Here is a 20,630-nt window from a genome sequence, read left to right as displayed (position 1 = left end):
GGAGGGTTGGACTGGCATGGACAAGAGAAGCAAGCCAACTGGACTTGTTCCCCCAGGGGTGTGTCGCTGGGACCCAGCAAATCCACAATTCCAGTCTTCCCTGCTGTATGGCGGATATGGATGGAAAGCAGCAAGGCCTTGCCTGCCAAGTGGGAGATGGCGAGGGAGGCACGTGGCAGGAAGCAGGGATGAATCACACCTCTCCACCGAGGTGGAGCACTCCTTTCTCATGGCCATACAATACCTTAATTTTGCTCTTCATGTTGGAGCAAAAATAACTCTGCCCTTGGATTTCATAAAATAGACTTGGATGTTTCTAATATTCCTGCCATCCCCCGTTTTTATTTTGTTTGCCTAAATTAGCTCCAGTGAATTTCTGTTCAATACAACCCAATCACCCCCAAATAAGACAGAAATAAAACAAAATGGGATGGAGGGAATATATGAAATGTTAATAATTTGAAAATAAATAGATTTGAAACATCTGATTGTAGCCAAAAAGTGGTGAGGGATTTGTTGAAGAAAGTAAAACTTCGTCAATTTTCTCATTAATGATCTTCATTAAGTAGACAAATATAAGTTCAAGTGTGTGCGATTTTTTAAAGGATAAGTTCTAATAGAATTAATAACAGCATGAATTTCACAAATTATGAAAAAATATACATTTAAGTATGGTCACATAGGGCCGAGTGTGGTGACTTACACCTGTAATCCCAGCACTTTGTGAGGCCAAGGTGGGCAGATCACTTGAGCCCGGAAGTTTGAGACCAGCCTGGGCAACGTAGACCCCACTTCTACAAAAAATACAAAATTAGCCAGGCGTGGTGGCATTCACCTGTAGGCCCAGCTACTTGAGAGAGGCTGAGGCAGGAGGATCACTTGGGCCTGGAAGCTAAAGGCTGCAGTGTGAGCCAAGATCATGCCACTGCACTCCAGCCTGAGTGACAGAGCCAGACCCTGTCTCAAAACAAACAAACCAACACACACACACACACACACGGACACACACACACACACACACACACAGCATAAATAAATAAATAAATATGCTCATATTGCAAATGACAGAAAACAAAAGGAATGGTAAAGAAACATTTTCAGATATTTAAAAATGTGATTAGGCGATGACGAAAGTAGGGACAAGCACTCAGAGCTGACAGTAAGAGCAAGTGAGTTGGGTTGTCCTTTTCAATCATTGTGAAACTCTTAGATAAAGAATGTGATACAGAGAAAAGTATAAAGAAAAATTATGGAAAAAAATTTAAAAAATTAAAATAATGGACAAAGATATATCAGACAAGCATGCTAGTATGTATAGAGATTACTAGAAAGCCAAACAAAATACATTCAAAATCACAATAAAACAATAACAAAAACCTCAACAAATATAAACCAATAATTGCACTTTATAACGACAAAGAATGTCATATTTTTCCTAGTTTAGTGATGAATGTCTAGTGAAATGTGTTTATGAACTTTCTGTGCCTACAGACATAATAACAAAATATTTAAAGCAAAATAATTAGAAACATTTGTAAAACATACATGTCTCATTTGATGACTTTTAAATAGGGAAAAATACATTAAAATAGCGATTAAGCATGGTTATCCAATACTAACATTTGCAAAAAAAAAAAAAGTCTATATAGTAAGACACAAGGAAAACAATTGAAAAAAAAACTTTCTAAAGATCACATTGTTGAACTTAATATAATGAAAAATAAGTTATAAAAGTACTCTATAAAATGTATCAAACAAAACTAAAACAAAACACAGCAAAAAAGCACTCAAGTAATTTAAGTACAAAAGATAATATAAAATACAATTACAAAATACGTACATAAGAGAATTGGCTAAAGCTATTATCAAATGGAAATTTAGATCAGTAAGTGTTTTATTTTTAAGAATACATTTAGAGCAGTAAGTGTTTTATTTTTAAGAATATTTTACTCAATTTAACTGAGTAAAGTGGCATTCAATTCAATATTGTTACAAAGAGAATAGTAAAAGAAAATTAAACGAAAGATGAAGAATTCACATAAATAAAGATACCAATTCACTAACAAACAGAATAGGTACTGATATGTTCAAGAGTTGTATCTTTGATAATACAAATAAAACTAAGAAACCTTTCAAGTCTAATCAAGGATGAAAATAAAGATAAAATAGAAATAAAATGTTAACAATGAGGAAGAGAATCTAGACAAATTAAGGGTTTTAAAATGAGACAATATTATACACAACTCTATAATAATCTAATCCTATAAACAAGCTATTTTTAGAGAATATGAACTATCAAAATTGACGCAAAGTAACCATGACAGATAAATAAACATGAAAGAAATTGAAAAAGTTTGAAAATTACCTTTAGGAAACATTATCCACAATGCTTTATAAATTTCACGCCATATAAACTATCCTAGACGGTTAAAATACTTAAAAATTGCTCTTTCTAAAACTATCACTATATATATTTTTATATAATCTCACTTGATAATAAACATGCCAGATGTAAAATAAATACTGGAAAGTCAAAGAACAGCAAAGTAGCTACAATTTCACATTAAATATATTTTTATATATGAGATTCACAAATTATATGCATGTAGTGTGTGTGTATATATATGCATCTTCACATTAATAAAAAAGATTGAGAAAACAAATTGCAGTAGTTTCTTCTTTTTTCAGATGAAAAAGACTATGTTACTGTTTTCTAAGCTTCAGCAATCAGAATTATTTTATAATTTTAAAGTGCATTACTAATTTAAACATTTGAAAATTTTGTCTCATATATTCTTGGACTCTATGTCAAAATGTAAATTACTGAGATAAAGATCGTACTTAAATAATGCCATGTTTTATTCTAAGGATTTCCTTAGAAAATATTTATTCCTTAGATATAACGAAAATATTTATCCCTCAGATTCCTTAAGATTTCCTTAGAATAAAGGAACTTTATTGACTTTCTTGTGCTTACATAGTATTTGTAATGCCTATACTTGAATAATTGTTTTGAGCTGTGAAAAATGAGGACTTTTTGGTAAGTGGCTTTGACTAATTGGAAAACAAAAAAATGATTTAAAATAGATGTTCTTTAAATTCTGTTCTATATTTTATTTTTAAAGTTTTGTGGATACATAGTAGGTCTGTATATTTATGGGGTACATGAGATATTTTGATACAAGCATATAATGCATAATAATCTCATCAGGCTAAATGGGGTATCCTCAAAATATGAGCTTATTTGAAAATAGAGTCTTTGTACATGGAATTCATTAAGTTAAAATGAGGCCATACTAGATTGCGGTGGGCCTGGGATCCAATATGCTGGTGCGTTATAAGAACAGCAAAGACACCGAGACATGTAGGGAAGGCCACGTGGGGACAGAAGCAGCAGCTGGAATGATGCCTGCCAGCCAAGAAGCTCCAGGAATAGGTGGTAGCCACCAGTGACTGGGAAGGGCCCAGGAAGAATCCTCCCCTTGAGCCCCAGAGGGAGCATAGCCCTGCCCACACCTTGATCTCAGACTTCCAGCCTCTAGAACTCAGAAAATATTCTGCTGTGGTTTTTTTTTTTTTTTAGTTTTCAAAACATTTTTAACTTTTGTGGGTACATAATAGGTATAACATTATTGAGATATCTTGATACAGGCATAAGATGTGTAATAAACACATCAGGGTAAATGGGGTACCCACCCCCTCAAGTATTTATTCTTTCTTTATGTTACAAACAATCCAATTATACTCTTTTAGTTAAACTGTACAATACATCATTGTTGACTGTAGTTACCCTGTTGTATTAACAAATACTAGATCATACTCATTCTATCTAACTATATTTTTGCACTCATTAGCCATCCCCACTACCAACCCCCCACTACCCTTCCCAGCCTATAGTAAACATTATTCTATTTTCTATCTCCATGAGTTCAATCGTTTTAATTTTTTAGGTCTCACAAGTAGGCGAGAACATACAAAGTTTTTCTTTCTGTGCCTGGCTTATTTCACTTAACATAATGACCTCCATTTCCATCTATATTGTTGTAAATGACCAGGATCTCATTCCTTTTTATGGCTGAATAGTACTCCATGAAGTATATGTACCACATTTTCTCTACCCATTTATCTGTCAATGGATGCTTAGGTTGCTTCCAAATCTTGGCTATTGCGAATAGTGCCACAATAAACGTGGGAGTGCAGGTATCTCTTCCGTATCCTGATCTCCTTTCTGTGGACATAAAACTAGCACTAGGATTGATGGATCATATGGTAGCTCTATTTTTTGTTTTTTTTTTTTGTTTGTTTTTTGAGACAGAGTCTCACTCTGTGACCCAGGCTGGAGTGCAGTGGCGGGATCGCGGCTCACTGCAAGCTCCGCCTCCTGGGTTCACGCCATTCTCCTGACTCAGCCTCCCGAGTAGCTGCGACTACAGGCACCCGCCACCACGCCCGGCTAATTTTTTTTGTATTTTTAGTAGAGACGGGGTTTCACGGTGTAAACCAGAATGGTCTTGATCTCCTGACCTCGTGATCCGCCCGCCTTGGCCTGCCAAAGTGCTGGGATTAGGTGCGTGAGCCACCGTGCCTGGCCTATTTTTAGTTTTCTGAGGAACCTCCATACTTTTCTCCATAGTGACTGTACTACTTTTCATTCCCACAAACAGTGTTCCCTTTTCCCCACAACCTCACCAGCATTTGTTATTGCCTGTGTTTTGGATAAAAGCCATTTTAACTGTGGTGAGATGATATTTCATTGTAGCTTTGATTTGCATTTCTCTGATGATCAATTGTGTTGAGCACTTCTTCATATACCTGTTTGCCATTTGTATGTCTCCTTTTGAGAAATGTCTATTCAGATCTTTTGCCAATTTTTAAATTGAATTATTAGATGTTTTCCTGTGGAATTGTTTCAGCCCCTTATGTATTCTGCTTATTAAGCCCTTTCCAAATGAGTATTCTTCAAATGTTTTCTTCCATTCTGTGGGCTGTCTCTTCGTTTTGTTGATTATTTTCTTTGCTATGCAGAAACGTTTTAACTTGGTGTGATCTCATTTGTCCATTTTTGCTTTGGTTGCCTGTGCTTGTAGAGTATTACTCAAGAAATTTTTGCCTAGAGCAACATCCTGGAGACTTTCCCTAGTGTTTTCTTTTAGTAATTTCGTAGTTTGAGATATTAGATTTAAGTCTTTAAGTCATCTTTTTTTTTTTGAGACAGTCTTGCTCTGTCGCCCAGGCTGGAGTGCAGTGGCACAATCTCGACTCACTGCAACCTCTGCCTCCTGGGTTCAAGCGATTCTCCTGCCTCAGGCTCCCCATAGCTGGGATTACAGGCTTGCCACCATGCACAGCTAATTTTTGCATTTTTAGTAGAGATGAGGTTTCACCATGTTGGCCAGGGTGGTCTCACACTCCTGGCCTCAAATGATCCATCTGCCTTGGACTCCCAAAGTGCTAGGGTTACAAGTGTGATCCATAGCACCTGGCCCCTTAAGTCTTTAAAACACTTTGATTTGATTTTCGTATATGGCAAGAAATAGGAGTCTAGTTTCATTCTTCTGCATATGGATATCTAGTTTTCCTGGCACCATTTATTGAAGAGTCTGTCCTTTCCCCCAACATATGTATTTGCCACCTTTGTCGAAAATGACTTCACTGTAGATGTGTGGATTTGTTTTTGGGTTCTCTATTCTGTTCCATTGGTCTATGTGTCTTTGTATGTTAATATCATGCTGTTTTGGTGACTGTACCTCTGCAGTACAATTTGAAGTCAGATAATGTTATTCCTCTAGTTTTGTTCTTTTTGCTAAGGATAACTTTGGCTATTCTGGGCCTTTTGTGGTTCCATATAAATTTTAGAATTATTTGTTCTATTTCTGTGAAGAACATTATTGGTATTACTGCAATTACTTCTGCACCAACCTAATTTTTTTATAGGGATTGCATTGAATCTGTAGCTTGCTTTGGGTAGTATGGACATTTTAACAATACTGATTCTTCCAATCCATGAACATGGAATATCTTTCCATTTTTTTGTGTCCTCTTTCTTTCATCAATGTTGCATAGTTTTTACTGTAGAGATCTTTCACTTTTTTAGTTAAGTCATAGATATTTTCTTTTATTTGTAGCTATCATAAATGGGATAACTTTCTTTATTTCTTTTTCAGATTTTTCACTGTTGACATATAGAAATGTTACCGATTTTTGTATGTTGATGTTGTATCCTGTAACTTTACTGAATTTGTTTATTAGTTCTAACAGTTTTTTGGTGGAGTTTTTAGTTTTTCCCATATATGAAATTATGACATTTGGGGCTGGATGATAATTAATATAAGAAAAATAAAAATAAATTTAAATAAATTTAAAAACAAACAAAATTATATCATCTGCAGCAAAGAATAATTTGACTTATTCTTTTCCAATAAGTCAAATTGAATGCTCTTCTTTCTCTTGCCTGATTCCTCTAGGTAGGAATTCCCCTGATAATGAATTCTGATTTTAGTATTTATCTCTACTTACAACATGAGTAATTAATATTATTTGAGATTTTCTTACCTGCCATGCACTGGTCTAAACAATTTATGCGTATTATTATTTTTTTTTAATTTTTTTTTGAGATGGAGTCTCACTCTGTTGCCCAGGCTGGAGTGCAGTGGCGCCATCTCGGCTCACTGCAAGCTCCGCCTCCCGGGTTCACGCCATTCTCCTGCCTCAGCCTCCTGAGCAGCTGGGACTACAGGCGCCCGCCACCACGCCTGGCTAATTTTTTGTATTTTTAGTAGAGATGGGGTTTCACCGTGTTAGCCAGGATGGTCTCGATCTCCTGACCTCGTGATCTGCCTGCCTCGACCTCCCAAAGTGCTGGGATTACAGGCATGAGCCACCGCATCCAGCCCATGTGTATTATTTAATTCTCAAAAAAAAAAAAAAAAAAAAAAACTGTGAGGTTGGTACTGTAATGTCAAACAGCAGGTAATGATTCACTAGAGATTTCAAATAGAACAGCTTATAAGCAAAATATATCAGAACAACATTTCACTACCCGGAAAATTTGCTTTTGTTTTTTCCTAATGCTAATTAGTGCAATTGTACTTGTTTGTGCAAGGAGGTTCTTGTTTGAGAAATTATTTTTGTTTGGAAATATGTTTTTATAATTTCTTCAATGCTGAGGAAAAGGTCATTTCTGTAGGTAGGCTTTCCTAGGAAATTTGTCCCAGCAGGTTGTGTGCAGGTGGTTTTTGCGGGAGAACTCTCAGGCATGCTACCTATGAGGGGGTGAAGAAGGAGAAATTTGGTAGAGGGAAAAAAATCTGAAGCTGGGATGGCCCTTGAGAGATGCCTTGACTTGAGTCAAGTGGACCCAGCCTTGGGACCTGTACATCGTTAGGAGGCTGCCTAGGGCCTGAGAAATAGGTCAAGACTGCTAACTTCAACCAAGGGCAGTGTCCGGGAGGAATGCAGGGTGAAACCATCTGTAGGTAGCACTGCCAACTGGAGGAGTCTGTGCCCCCAGGTCCCAAGGGTGTCATTGATCTGCTTATGTGACCTACTGACTCTATATAAGGCAAAGAAATAATGGCCTTAGAAGGCTGCATGTCCTTGCTTATTCAGAAATGCATTTGACAGAGAAAAAGGCATCTGTCAGAATTCAAGTCAGAGAAGAATGATGTAGAAAAAAGAGCTGGAAAATTTTCTAGGCAGTCCCAACCAAAAAGACATTGTTTTATGGCATAAATCCAAAAGAATCAAAGAATAGGTAAGGAGACAATAATCAAAACCTCTTAGAAATTAGAAAGTTGATGCATGCTAACAGATTTGCTGAAACTTAGAAAAAGTAATATGAAGTAGCAGAGAGGAAACAGAGTCAGTTCGATTTACATCCAGAGTCAGGTATTGACAACACGAGATGCAATGGAAGAAAGAGCAAAATAAGGAAGACTGGGTGGAAGTCAGTTTTAAGAGGCAGTCAGGTCCCCAAATCCCATTCCCTACTCCCATCCCAGAGACTGGGGGCATATTTCTTCCTGGAGGGAACTTTTTCTTTTTGAGATGATAAAGAAAAGGTTGGGCCGGGCGCGATGGCTCACGCCTGTAATCCCAGCACTTTGGGAGGCCGAGGCGGGCAGATCACGAGGTCAGGAGATCGAGAACATCCTGGCTAACACGATGAAACCCCGTCTCTACTAAAAATACAAAAAAAAAAAGTTAGCCGGGCGTCGTGGCGGGCGCCTGTAGTCCCAGCTACTCGGGAGGCTGAGGCAGGAGAATGGCGTGAACCCGGGAGGCGGAGCTTGCAGTGAGCCGAGATCGCGCCGCTGCACTCCAGCCTGGGCGACAGAGCGAGACTCCGTCTCAAAAAAAAAAGAAAAAGAAAAAGAAAAGATTGTTGATCTGAGCAACAGTAGGAGGAGTTCAGGGCGGGGGACCACTCTGACCACCAGGATTCCATGCACAACTCCACCCTGAAGCTGAGACTCCCCCAGCCACATCCTGCTTCTCCCTCCTGCTCCCTGGCCTTCTGCTTCCTGGATGGATATTGGATAGACTTTTCTGGGAAGTCTGATCAACCTAAAGACAGAATTTCAAAAGTTCCTCCATCCTGGCCGGGCACGGTGGCTCAAGCCTGTATTCCCAGCACTCTGGGAGGCCGAGGCGGGTGGATCACGAGGTCAAGAGATCAAGACCATCCTGGCCAACATGGTGAAACCCTGTCTCTACTAAAAATACAAAAAATTAGCCAGGTGTGTTGGCGGGAGCCTGTAGTTCCAGCTACTGGGGAGGCTGAGGCAGGTGAATCACTTGAACCCGGGAGGCAGAGCTTGCAGTGAGCTGAGATTGCACCACCGAGCTCCAGCCTGGCGACAGAGCGAGACTCTGTCTCAAAAAAAAAAATAAATAAATAAATAAATAAAAATAAAAGTTTCTCCATTCTAACAGTTCAGGCATGTCATCTCACGTGCAGCTCACAGGCCGCAGCCCTCCTTAGGTGCCCAGACTTCCTGTGCTTGTTATTTTGTGCAGACAACTAGGAATGCATGGTGTTTCCATGAGAAGAACAAGGGACAAACAAACACAAAAGGGTGGCAACACAGAGAAAATGGAGGGAATTTATTCAGGGAGGGAATGAAACACAACAAATAAGCGTACCCCAAATATCTCAGAGTGAGAAAAACATAAACATGGTAACCATAAAATAAGAACAGTTGCTTCGAAAAGCAACATTCGGATAACACAAAGGAGCTCTTGGAACTTGATCCTAGGGAAAAAAGCAAAATTCAGTGAAATTATGTCACGTGAAAACTCACCAAATTCCCTGAAAGCAGAGTTAAGGGATGAAGTAATATGAAATATTAACAGCAGAGGTAAGAAAATTAAAGGACAAGTTCTGAAGGTCCAACAGCCAAACATAGGACCAGTGCTTGAATAAATCTGAAGAACGATCATTTCTAAATTAGAATTCCATACCCAGCCAAACAATCAATTAAATATGAGGTAGAATAAACACACTTTAAGGCATATGGCATCTTGGAAATTCGCCCTCATGAGCTTTTCCTACTGAAGACACTAGAGGTTGTAAACCCTCAAAAGGAGAAAGAAGGGGACGAGGCACAGGATACAGGGAACAGGGGATCCAGCACTGCAGTGCACGGAGCAGTGGAGACTCATCAGGCATGACGGCAACCAGTCCAGATGGTGGGAGGCTGCAGGAGATATTTCTTCAGAAAAGAACTGATAGAACACTTCATGCAGCTGAAAGAACTGGCAATGCATTTGGGTTGAATGAGTTAGAAGAGGGAAAATAACAAGACAAGTATTATCTGTAGAAAAAAAAACGAAGTGGTATAGGGATAGAAAATTGGACTTTACTACATGGTTGAGCTAAGAATTACATTTATGTCATCCTTATACTGTAAATGGAACAGCAGGTATCAAAGTTACTATTTATGGAGGAATGGGTGAGGGTTTGGGGGGAAGCATGTTTGCTGGAGGGAGGAGGAGAATAAATGTTTTATCTCCACACTTCCTGAGGGGAATCTACAGATAATGCTAAAAATGAAAAATCAAGAAGAGCATAAAACATGTTATTCTCAGAAATGCAGCTAAATACAAAGCAGCTGAAAGATATGCAAATATTTGCCTTTGAGAAAGAAGAATTTGAGATGTGGGAGGTGGAGGATTTTTTTTGTTATTTTGTAAAATACTCTGTGGAATTATTTTATCTTAATATAGATGCATGTTATTCATAAATTTGAGTAAAAACTTGTTAAAAAGATGGACAGGAGAGAAAAAAGAAAGAATATTAATTGTGCCAGACAAAAAGAAGGGTTCATTTATTGGCCTGAATGAACTGCTTCCATTTTTTTTTCTGCGATGACTGTAGTTGTAGATCAGCAAACCAGTTTCTGAGCAAGTTTGGAAGAGCTTCTTATTTACCTAACATTGTTAAATATATTCTGATTATTAGCATTCTAAAATGTTGATCTAAAGGACTTCTAGATTTCTATTTTTATAATCTTATTGTAAACTCCTTTTGTTGTAGAATGTAGTATTGGAAACGTATATTTCAATAAATGATTAGTCTAGCAGTGAGATATCTTATATGAAAAAAGAAAATATCATACAATAAAAATGTCAGAGCTGAAGACCTCATTAATTCAGTTTTTTTTTATATTCTACCTAGGCGAAGGTGAAGTTTACCTTTGAATGCCTAAGAAGAAATGAATATTGTAAGCATCATTATAAGGATATCTTGTTCATTTCTTTAAAAGAAAATGAAGATTGAAGTGTATATTATTTGAGATTATTTTTAATTAAATAAATAGGTATACTGAGTTTATTCATGCAATAAATGCTTATTAAGTATTCTGCTCAGGCATTCTGCTACATATTGGGAATACAAAACTAAGAATGTATAGTTTATGCTTTTAAATTGACAGATAAGTAAGAAAATTGAAATTAAAATGAGCAATTGTGATTACAAGAAAAATAAGAATAATTGCTATAATTAAGAGTTAAGCAAAATGCTAATAGCCCAGGGGTATGAGTACAAGCTTCATACAGGGAGTTTCACTTGAACCGCATTTGAAGGATAAATGAGAAGTATGTAGAGGAATTGGTGGAGGACATTTTAGGAAGAAACAGTAGCTTGGCGAGTGATACAGGCTTGGGTGCTCTGGGAAGAGCCAATGCTTCAGGATTGCGGGAACATTGAGCAGTGAGCCTGGAGAGAGAGGAGAGACCTTTAGATTTTATTGTTTAGGTTGAAGCAATGAGATACCATTGATAACTATTGTTTTTCACAGCAGCCCAAATTTTCATGTTATTTCTATGTGCTAGGCACTGAACCAAGCATGTGACATGAAAAATCTCATGTAATCCTTACAACAACTCTACTATTATCCCCATTTTTAAGTTTTTCATGCATGACATTAATATGACAAAATTTGTGTAGAAAGTTCATTCTAACACCCATGGATAAATGGTTCAGTCAAGTAGAAAAAAAATACACTATGACTTATATAGCTTGCATAAAAATATTCTATGTAATACAGCAAGGTAAAGGATTGGAAAGATTGTAGATACACAGTTGTTTTATTCTTTTCACCACTTCCAAAGTTTTAAAATATGCATCTGTCAATTTTAAAATAAGAACAATGTGTGTTATCAGAGGAAGAAGACAAAAAGGGAAGGAAGAGTTTCAGCAAGGAGGAAGAAAGTGAAGAGAGAACAAGAGAAGCGGAGAGAGACAGACAATTCCTGATAGGCACAATTGGAGGACAGATCAAATGAGAAGATGAACAGCAGAGAGACTCCTTCTGTGATGGTCCCAGCAAAAGATAATGAAGCCTCAACTGAGGCAGACTTCTGTAGAAAGCAAATGGAGAAAATGGAGAAAAATAAGAGAAATGTTTAGAAAATAAATCAAAATGACCCGATCACCCACTGGACATATAGATGGTTTTGCCCATTCTCCCAGAGAGGGGGAGAGAAGACTTGATGAGGCTTCTGAGAGGAAACGATGATAACATGGTTCCTAGAGCTATGACGTTATGATCTGTTGCTTATTTCACTCAGCATAACTAGCTAATGTCAGTTTACGCAGTGCATCAATTGGTCACATTCCTGTGAAAGAAGAAAGGATGACTGCATGTACTTGATATCCAAGTTGATCCGGAACCTCAAGTTCTGATTTTGACTTAATGAAATCTTCTATTCTGTATTCCCAACAACCCAGAACTTTCATGGTATGACTGGCAGGAATATAAAAGAACAACTTGAGGAATCTAACAATACTGGTTTGAGACCATGGGTGACTCTTTATCCAATTGCATTGACTTGATTTTCCTTTAAATAAATGTCTAATTGCCTGTAAGATTTTGTGGGTTAGAATGTTAAAGCAACAGCTTCACTCTACTATGTCGCAAATGTATTTCCTTCCTGCTGACACTCTACTTCCTTCTTCCTACAGGGCTTTATGAAACCTTTCTAACCAATGATGAACCAGAATGCTGTGACGTCAGGAGAGAAGAAAAATCAAATAACCCATCCAAAGGGACCGTAGAGAAAAGTGGCTCCTGTCACAGGACATCGCTCACAGTGTCATCAGCAACAAGACTGTGCAACAGCAGACTCAAGCTGTGTGTTCTTGTACTGATTCTCTTACACACAGTGCTCACAGCCTCGGCAGCACAGAACACAGCCGGACTGAGCTTTGGAGGCATCAACACGCTGGAAGAAAACTCAACCAATGAGGAGTAACGGAAGGACGAGTGTCACCACAGCAGCAGCTGGCCCGCCGTGAAAAATGGCAACTGCTGTCTCATGTAACAGAAACTGGGTGCTTTTACCCTCGAATTACTTATTGCAAGGCCTTTAGGGTAAAATTTAAACAGATGGGCCTGAATCCAAACAAGGACACAACCACAGCTTTTTATTGACTAAAAGGCTGGAAAGTGACTTTAAATTTCTCACACCATTTTATACACTGTGTTTTAATGTTTGGAGGTTTTATTTGCTTTCGTTTTGGTTTGGGTTTATTTGTTTGTTTATTTTTTGCACTTGTTAATACAGGATTTATTTTGGGGGATGGTTTCTCAGAGGTAAACTAAGTCTTTTCACTGTCTCTATCTCTCTATATATTTCTAGTCATTGTGTGTGTTCATCAGATAGTTCTGTCTTTATGTCCTGTCAGCTTCTATTAGAGGAATGATTGCTATGACCTCATGGTATAGCAAAAAACAACAACAAAAAAAGAATAAAAAATAAAAAAGACAAAAAAAAGAAAACAACAAAAAAATAAAAATAAAAAAAATCCCTAAGTCTCCCTTCTACCCACAGAACCAACAACACCCTTCCCGGCCTTTCCTTTCCCTCGCCCTCTTCTCGTCCCCTAAGCAAACAACATCCGCTTGCTTCTGTCTGTGTAACCACAGTGAATGGGTGTGCACGCTTGGTGGGCCTCTGAGCCCCTGTTGCACAAACCAGAAACAGAGCGGAGCCAAGGGGGCCTGACAAGAGTTCCTTTTTAGCTGAACAAACAAGTGCTCTCCATAATAGGTGGAATCAGACAGTTAACACATTTTTATGTTGAAAACAAAATAAAAGGAAAAAATTAAAAAAAACTATCATGAACTGTATTGCTCCAGTTCCCATCCCCAAGTGGCCCAGCCCTTTCTTGCTGGTCCAGTTGGACAGGAGCAGCTATCTAGAATCAGGATGCGGGGAGTGAGGAAGTTTTTCTTTTGACAATGAAGGTGGGCTTTCATTGTGATTTTTGTTCTGTTGCAGTAATATAGGAGCACATTTTGGCCATTGTAATTACAGGGAACAAACAAAGGGATTGCGGACACATATCTGGACTTCTTTTCCTCCCTTATTGTTGTGGAAGAGACACTAGAAATGCTCAAACACCTGCAATATACAGAATATACACAATTTTATTCCAGTATTTCCCTAACATATGGTTTAAAATTATTCCAGGTATACAGTGTATGCAATTCTGCATTATCACAGAGGAACAACTTCTTTTTTAAAAAATAAATAGGTCAGCCATTTTTATTAACGTGCAAAAACTTTATCACTCTAACATGCTCTAGGTAGTTGAGGAAAAGAGGTCTGATCACTGTTTGTATTTTATTTTCTTTGTGGGAACATTTCACCTGCTGAGTGTACATGAATTTGCTTTCTATAAAAGGCTTTTATGAGTTTACAGTAGAATCAGTGGAAGGAAGAGTTAATAAGGGCTGTTTTTAAAAAAACAAACAAACAAACAAAACAAATAATTAAAAAAAAAATTTTACATTCCTTCCTATTCTCTAACTACACTTGGGAAGTGCACTTCAGATAAGTTTGCAGTGTGACTGAGAGATGAAGGAAATCCATAGAAAAGGTCCTCTTAGTGAACAAAATTTAGTTATTAACTTTATAGCTATGAAATTTCCCCGGGCATTTGTTTTTGTTCAAACAGACTTTAACCTCTGCATCATACTTAACCCTGCGACATGCGTACAGTATGCATATTTTGTTTTGAAAAAAAATGTTTCGTTCCAGTCTGTTAAGAATATTCAAAAATAATAAAGGTATTGCTTAATAAAATTGCTAGAATTGTTTAGCAGTACATGCACAATATTTTACTAGATTCTTTGTTTTAATAGTGTTTTGTTGAGACTGAAAATCTTAAAATGGTCTGCGCAAATACAAAAAAAAAGAAAACACCAAAAATGCAAAATTCTCCCGTTTTTGTTCCTTTTTTAAAATTTTTTTTTCTGCAAATGCAAATACATTCACATGTGGACAGATACATACACATAGGCATCATATTTTAGTGTATGGAAACATGGTGCTTTTCTGGGGACACAAGCTGAGGAAGTGAATGGCTCGGGGGAGACACATTAATTGCATGGAATTGTTGACTGTGAAACACTTGTAGAAATGAGCACTTTGGTATCCCAACCAATGGTGGAATACAGATTTCAATGGCGCTGGGGGGACGAGAAGCAGAGGAATTGAGGCTGCAAGTGATTCCTGAGGAAGAGCTCACAGGGTGATTTTATTCAGATGACCTCTAAGGGAATGGCTAGGAAGGAGTCTGTTCTGACCTTTATCTACCTCTGCTGTGGTAAGGCCACTCCATGTGCCATCTCACCATCTCTTCAGCGTTCCTCATGCTGCTTCTCCCCGTGCCATAGGCGTTTCCATTCTTGCAGGAAAATGACAATGCAAGTGCAAATTCCACTCACTTTTATTGGTATGACAATAAATTATTCTTTCTAAACACTTAGCAAAATGACGAAAAGCAGTATTCCTTAAAATATAGGTTTTCATTTTCTCAATATATTTTGAACTGACTAAAGTTCTTTACAAAGACAAGAGGATCAGAAGGTTCCACTTACCCGTGTTTTAGCGTTTGTTTGGAGATAATGCCAACCAAAAGGTGGAAAACTAAAACCACCATTGCTTTACATAAGAGGTACACACTGCCCCCCACCCCCCAAAAAAAAACACAGCTTTGAAAGTTGGGAGAAACACTGCAGTCTTCATTGTAAATATAAAGTGATAATTTAGGTGAGGAAGGAACGGTAAGGAGGGAAGGGGAATGAGTCCTTTCTCCCCATCAAGTCAGCCAGCATTGGAATAGTCTCTAATTCTGGCGGAATATTTTCTTTGTCATGTTCATCTATTCTTATTACAGGAGAATGATTTCAGTGCCTAGTATTTATTAGTGTAAGTGTGTAACCACTTTCCCGCAATATTTCCACTGGACATGTTGAAGCAAAGCAGCTTCTTCTGGGGTCAGGCAGAGGATCCAAATAGGCAACGACTCCTTTCCCAAGCTCAGAAACAATCACTGATGATGCAGATTTCACTACATCCGTTGATTCTTTGTAGTAGTTTTCCTGGCACACACTTGAGCATGCTTAAGGTTGTGCATATGTTCATTTTGAACAAATAAGTTCAGCCCCTGCTCCTTTGTAATCATCATCTTGTTTAGTTTTTCCTGTAGAGGATGTCTACCGTATACTGGCTAATGAACTACAATATTAAAATAATTATTTCTGCAAGCAAGTTGAAAACCAAGAAAACAATATTTGTTTCATAAATGTATGGCATAGATTTCCCTGTTTATTATTCTTTTTATCTGCAATAGAGAAATTTCAGTTTCTGGAATATGTTGGTACTGCTAAGCTAAATGGCAAATAACATAGAGTTCAATGTCATTCTTTATTGCATTTACATTTGGTGATACGTTATATTGAACTTTTCTTGCATTAAAAAGATAGTATTTTTCCCCTCTCTCACAAGGCAGTAAGTGAAAGTTGTTCTTTTAAATGGCATCATTACAAAAAGTAATTTGGTTTCTTACCAATAAATTGGTACCTTAGGTACTAGAACCTGTAGTCATTAAAACAAAAGAAAATAGGCAGATAGCAGAAACAAAAGAATGACAGGAAAGAAGGAAGGAAAGAGGGGAGTGAGGGAGGGAGGGAAGAAGGGAGGGATAGAGTCGGGGAATGAGGGGGAAAGGAGGTTTCATATGAATGAATAAGTACATACTTTTTTCCGGGGGAAAAAAACATAAATGAAATAAGCAATTGGATGCCAGACCCATGTGCCAAATACCTGAATTGGCATATGGTATTTGATATCTGAACAACATCAAAAACGTTAACCAGTCTGAAGCATGATTTACATTCTTTCTCAGTAACAAAGACATTTACAATTTTCCTGCTACTCAAAGCATTAAATCAACACAGAACTGAAAGCTGCATTTTGTTTTATTTATTTAGAACTGCAGTCAGGTATTTAATTTCTTTTCTGTGTGTTTGTTTGTTTTTTGAGATGGCATCTTGCTCTGTTGCTCAAGCTGGAATGCAGCGGCAAGATCTCTGCTCACTGCAACCTCCACTTCCTGGGTTCAAGCGATTCTCCTGCCTCAAGCCTCTCGAGTAGCTGGGACTACAGGCTTGTGCCACCACGCCTGGCTAATTTGTGTATTTTTAGTAGAGACGTGGTGTCGCCATGTTGGCCAGGCTAGTCTTGAACTCCTGACCTTGGGAGATCCGCCGATTAGGCCTCCCAAAGTGTTGGGATTACAGGCGTGAGATACCACACCCAGCCAGGTATTTAATTTCATAAGTGTGCATATGCATATATGAGGCGTTAGGGTTATATACTATGGCATATCTTTAGAGAGATATAAAGATATATATACATACACACACACACACACACACACACACACACACACATCGCTTGCAAATAAAACTTCAACCAAAACATTATGTAGTCCATAACAGCACATGTATACCATAATGATGAATGATCCTACTTGTTTGTCAAAGTTAGAGCAGCATGGTCATTTAAAAACCATATCTACTTTGACAAGGGAAACAGACTCTCAAAATATCTCCATTAATGAATAAATCACAATTTTGAAACAGGCAGAATCTCCATCTTCCAAGCTTTAACAATGTTTATAAAAAACCTAATATAGCAGGTAGGTATTGGGTGACAATGAATAAAAAGACTTTCAGTGGGGGGGAAGGAAAATAACTAAGTATAGTTTTCAAGCAATGTCTTCATGACATTTATAAGAACTATCAAACAGCTACAAATTCTAGAAATTCTCCAAATAATGAGAAAATGTATAGATAATCTTCTTAGCCTTGGAATAAAACTTAAGGCATGAAACAAAATATGAACTATGGTTTTTATTCTTGAGATACTGTACTTCAGGGCTATGTTTACCACAGACAAGACATTCAGATTAAACTCAGAAGAAAATCACCTGGTTATTTTGTCCTGGGTCACACAGGTAGGTAATGCAAATGATGGAACTCAAGCATCTTCTGATTACAAATTACACAAGCTGGCTCCGAGGCACAGTGGGATCCCTAGGTCTCAGACACACTTGAAGAGTTGAATGGATTTTCTTCATACTCCAAGATATTTGTAGAATCACTCAATCTTAAATGAAAAAATCAAAATGATCAGGAAGATCTAGCGAATGTCTCAGAGTTCGTTTGTCATGTTACATTTTGTTCCATGACTTTGCTGTGTTATTCAATATTTTGGAGGTAAAGGAGAAGAGGGTCTATGGGAATATTTTAATAAAATATAGATTTTTAATTTTTATTTTTAATGTGGAGAAAAGGCACAGGATCTTAGGGCAAAGCCATGGTTTAGGGATGAGCTTTGGCTCCAGGTGACACAGGGAGGTCAATGATGTATTTGTACGTGACACCTCATGCAAGAAGAATACTTCGTGGCAACATTGGAGGCTTAAAAGAGATAAGTAATATAAATGTGCCTGGACAAAACAGGTGCTCAGTAGTAGTTAGTTATCATGACTATTCATTCACAAAGTGAAACTGGATTGGCTTGCTCATAGGGACTGCTCCTGGAAGTTGTTCAGAGTTTCTGAATTTCTTTGGCTTATCTCTTAATTACATTTTTTTTTTAACAACACCTCACATCCTTAAGCTAGCAGACTGACCATCAATAGATTTTCAATACAGTTTGAAAGTCTTAACATATATTACAGAACTAAAGTGAGCTCTGATGACTTTTAATATAAACAGCATTGGCTATTTTCGATTTCCACTCCCAAAAGGCTACTACTGACAAGCAAAAGTTAAAGGCATCTACACAAATTGAAGTGGTTCTACAAGCAAGTGTAAATTGATCAACAGTGGTAGTAGAAATAATGATGCAACTTCAAAGTGGTTGTTTAAGGCACTCATAGATCAAAAAATATATATAAATATTTGATGCCTCTGAATTCCTTAAAAAAACTATAGTAATTTTAAACATGAAAATGTTTAAATTGGAACATTTATTATGAAAATTAATTAAACTGAATTAATATATATTTTAATTAACACTATAATTATTATAGAATGAAATAACAGTGAAAAAGTTAGAAAACCTGTTCAGTTTTTGATAAAGTATATGGAAATAGATTAAGCAGGGCTCTTGAGTAAATTATTTCATTGATTTGTATCTATTTAGGTAGGTGAGAGTTGCATAGAATCAGTGGCGAGAAGGATCAGTGAAATAAATTTACAACTTCAGTGAAGACCAGGTAATGAGCATTGATCTATGAATACAGACTTTCTTCAGTGACTATTTCCCCTAAAACTCCCAGCTCACCGCAGCACTGCTGCTTCAAGATTCCAGTTATTGGCGTGCTAGCCAAGTAGAAGGTCATTTTTACCGAAACGCAAATTTCAACTTATGGCCATTTTCTACTGACCATTTCACTGCAAAATGGATAAAACAATAGGAAATATAAACTACAGCAAAAGTTAAAGCTCTATATGGACGTTAAAAGAAAACCTCTTGCTTTCTTTTTCTTCCTTTTTCTCTTGTTTTCTTTTTCTACCTTTTTCTGCATATGGCATTTATTTTCATATCATGATAAGCATTCTCATGTTTGCACTTAATTTTCCTTATTTCTATTTTTCTTAGATTTGTTGATGTTGTGTGGCATATTAAAAGTAGGAAGGACTGTATAAACTCATGTATTATTTTTAAATTGTTTTTCTGAATGTACTCAAGTACTTTTTTATGTGAATATGAACACGGAATAAAAGTACTAAAACCAGTTAATTATGAGAGACTAAGAATGTGGAAAGGAACATTCCGGAGTATATTAGTAGCTAAAGAAATGCCTTGGATCTTAAATTTCAACTTCTAAAATTATTAAAATACAAATATTAAAAAGATATAGAGGCCACTGCTAAAGTTTGTTTACGCCTTATTTCTTCGGTTGCCTAGATTATTCGTTTTAGGTGAATTTGCTTTTTCTGTCACCGTGGTTATGTTAACCCAACTGATTCATCCAAAACGGAATTGGCTAAACTCCTTTATGCACATATTTATATTAGGGCTGATTATTTTGCTCATTGAGTTTCAAAAAATTATCTAGAGGACTGCGAAGTTTTCATTGCTTTACTTAATTTCTTTTTCGCTTGTGTGATTTTTATTTCTTACTCTTGACTATATCTCTATACGGTTTGAAGTAACAGGGCAGAAAGTTAAGCTAATAATTTCTGCTGACTTGATAATTCATCAGTTTGACAAAAAGACCAGTGGGCCACCATTAGGAACTGAAGGCAACTGAAATGACATGGCTTACTCTTGCTGGAATCTTAGCTTGGAAGTTGAACATCTACTCCACAATGCCACGGGATCCGTTCATGATATCATTTGCTGAAGCACTTGCCAAGAATTTCATTATTTAGAAAAAGCAGAATTAACATTTCTATCTATTATTTTTCTTTTCTTTCTTTAAGCTGAAAGGCATTCAGAGGCTGTCAGTAAATAAAATCTATCAGGAACAAAATCATTTTCAAAATTTTTAAACATGATTTATTCTTGATGCAAATCTTATTGTTCTTACAATTCTATGCAAGTCAAGTTGAGCTAAAGCATTTTTATTTAATTCAATTTTCTTTCTTCTGAAATGTGATACAGTAAAATCAGGTTTTGAATATGTACAAACACATCAGGATGATTATTATACTTACATAAGTAAAATATATGTAAAATATTATCATATCTTCACCATATTTAGAGTCTAATATTTGTTAGATTTTTTGTGTGTGCATTTTTCCTTTCCCCTTCAGAAA

The 20,630-nt window shown here is 37.0% G+C and overlaps 1 protein-coding gene across 1 annotated transcript in view; it reads left to right on the top strand.

Annotated features, from left to right (window-relative positions):
- Window positions 1-19,743, top strand: part of NALF1 (NALCN channel auxiliary factor 1) — a 703,987-nt gene extending 684,244 nt beyond the window's left edge. Inside the window, exon 3 of the mRNA NM_001080396.3 lies at window positions 12,467-19,743. Within this exon, the coding sequence (NP_001073865.1) occupies window positions 12,467-12,756 (290 nt within the window). The 3' untranslated portion in view covers window positions 12,757-19,743. The remainder of the gene's footprint in view (window positions 1-12,466) is intronic.
- Window positions 19,744-20,630: the final 887 nt, after the last annotated feature.

This window comes from Homo sapiens, chromosome 13, assembly GCF_000001405.40.
Source record: "Homo sapiens chromosome 13, GRCh38.p14 Primary Assembly".
Lineage (NCBI taxonomy): Eukaryota > Metazoa > Chordata > Mammalia > Primates > Hominidae > Homo > Homo sapiens.
Note: the sequence above shows the minus strand (reverse complement) of the source record. Positions and strands in the feature narration are given on the sequence as shown.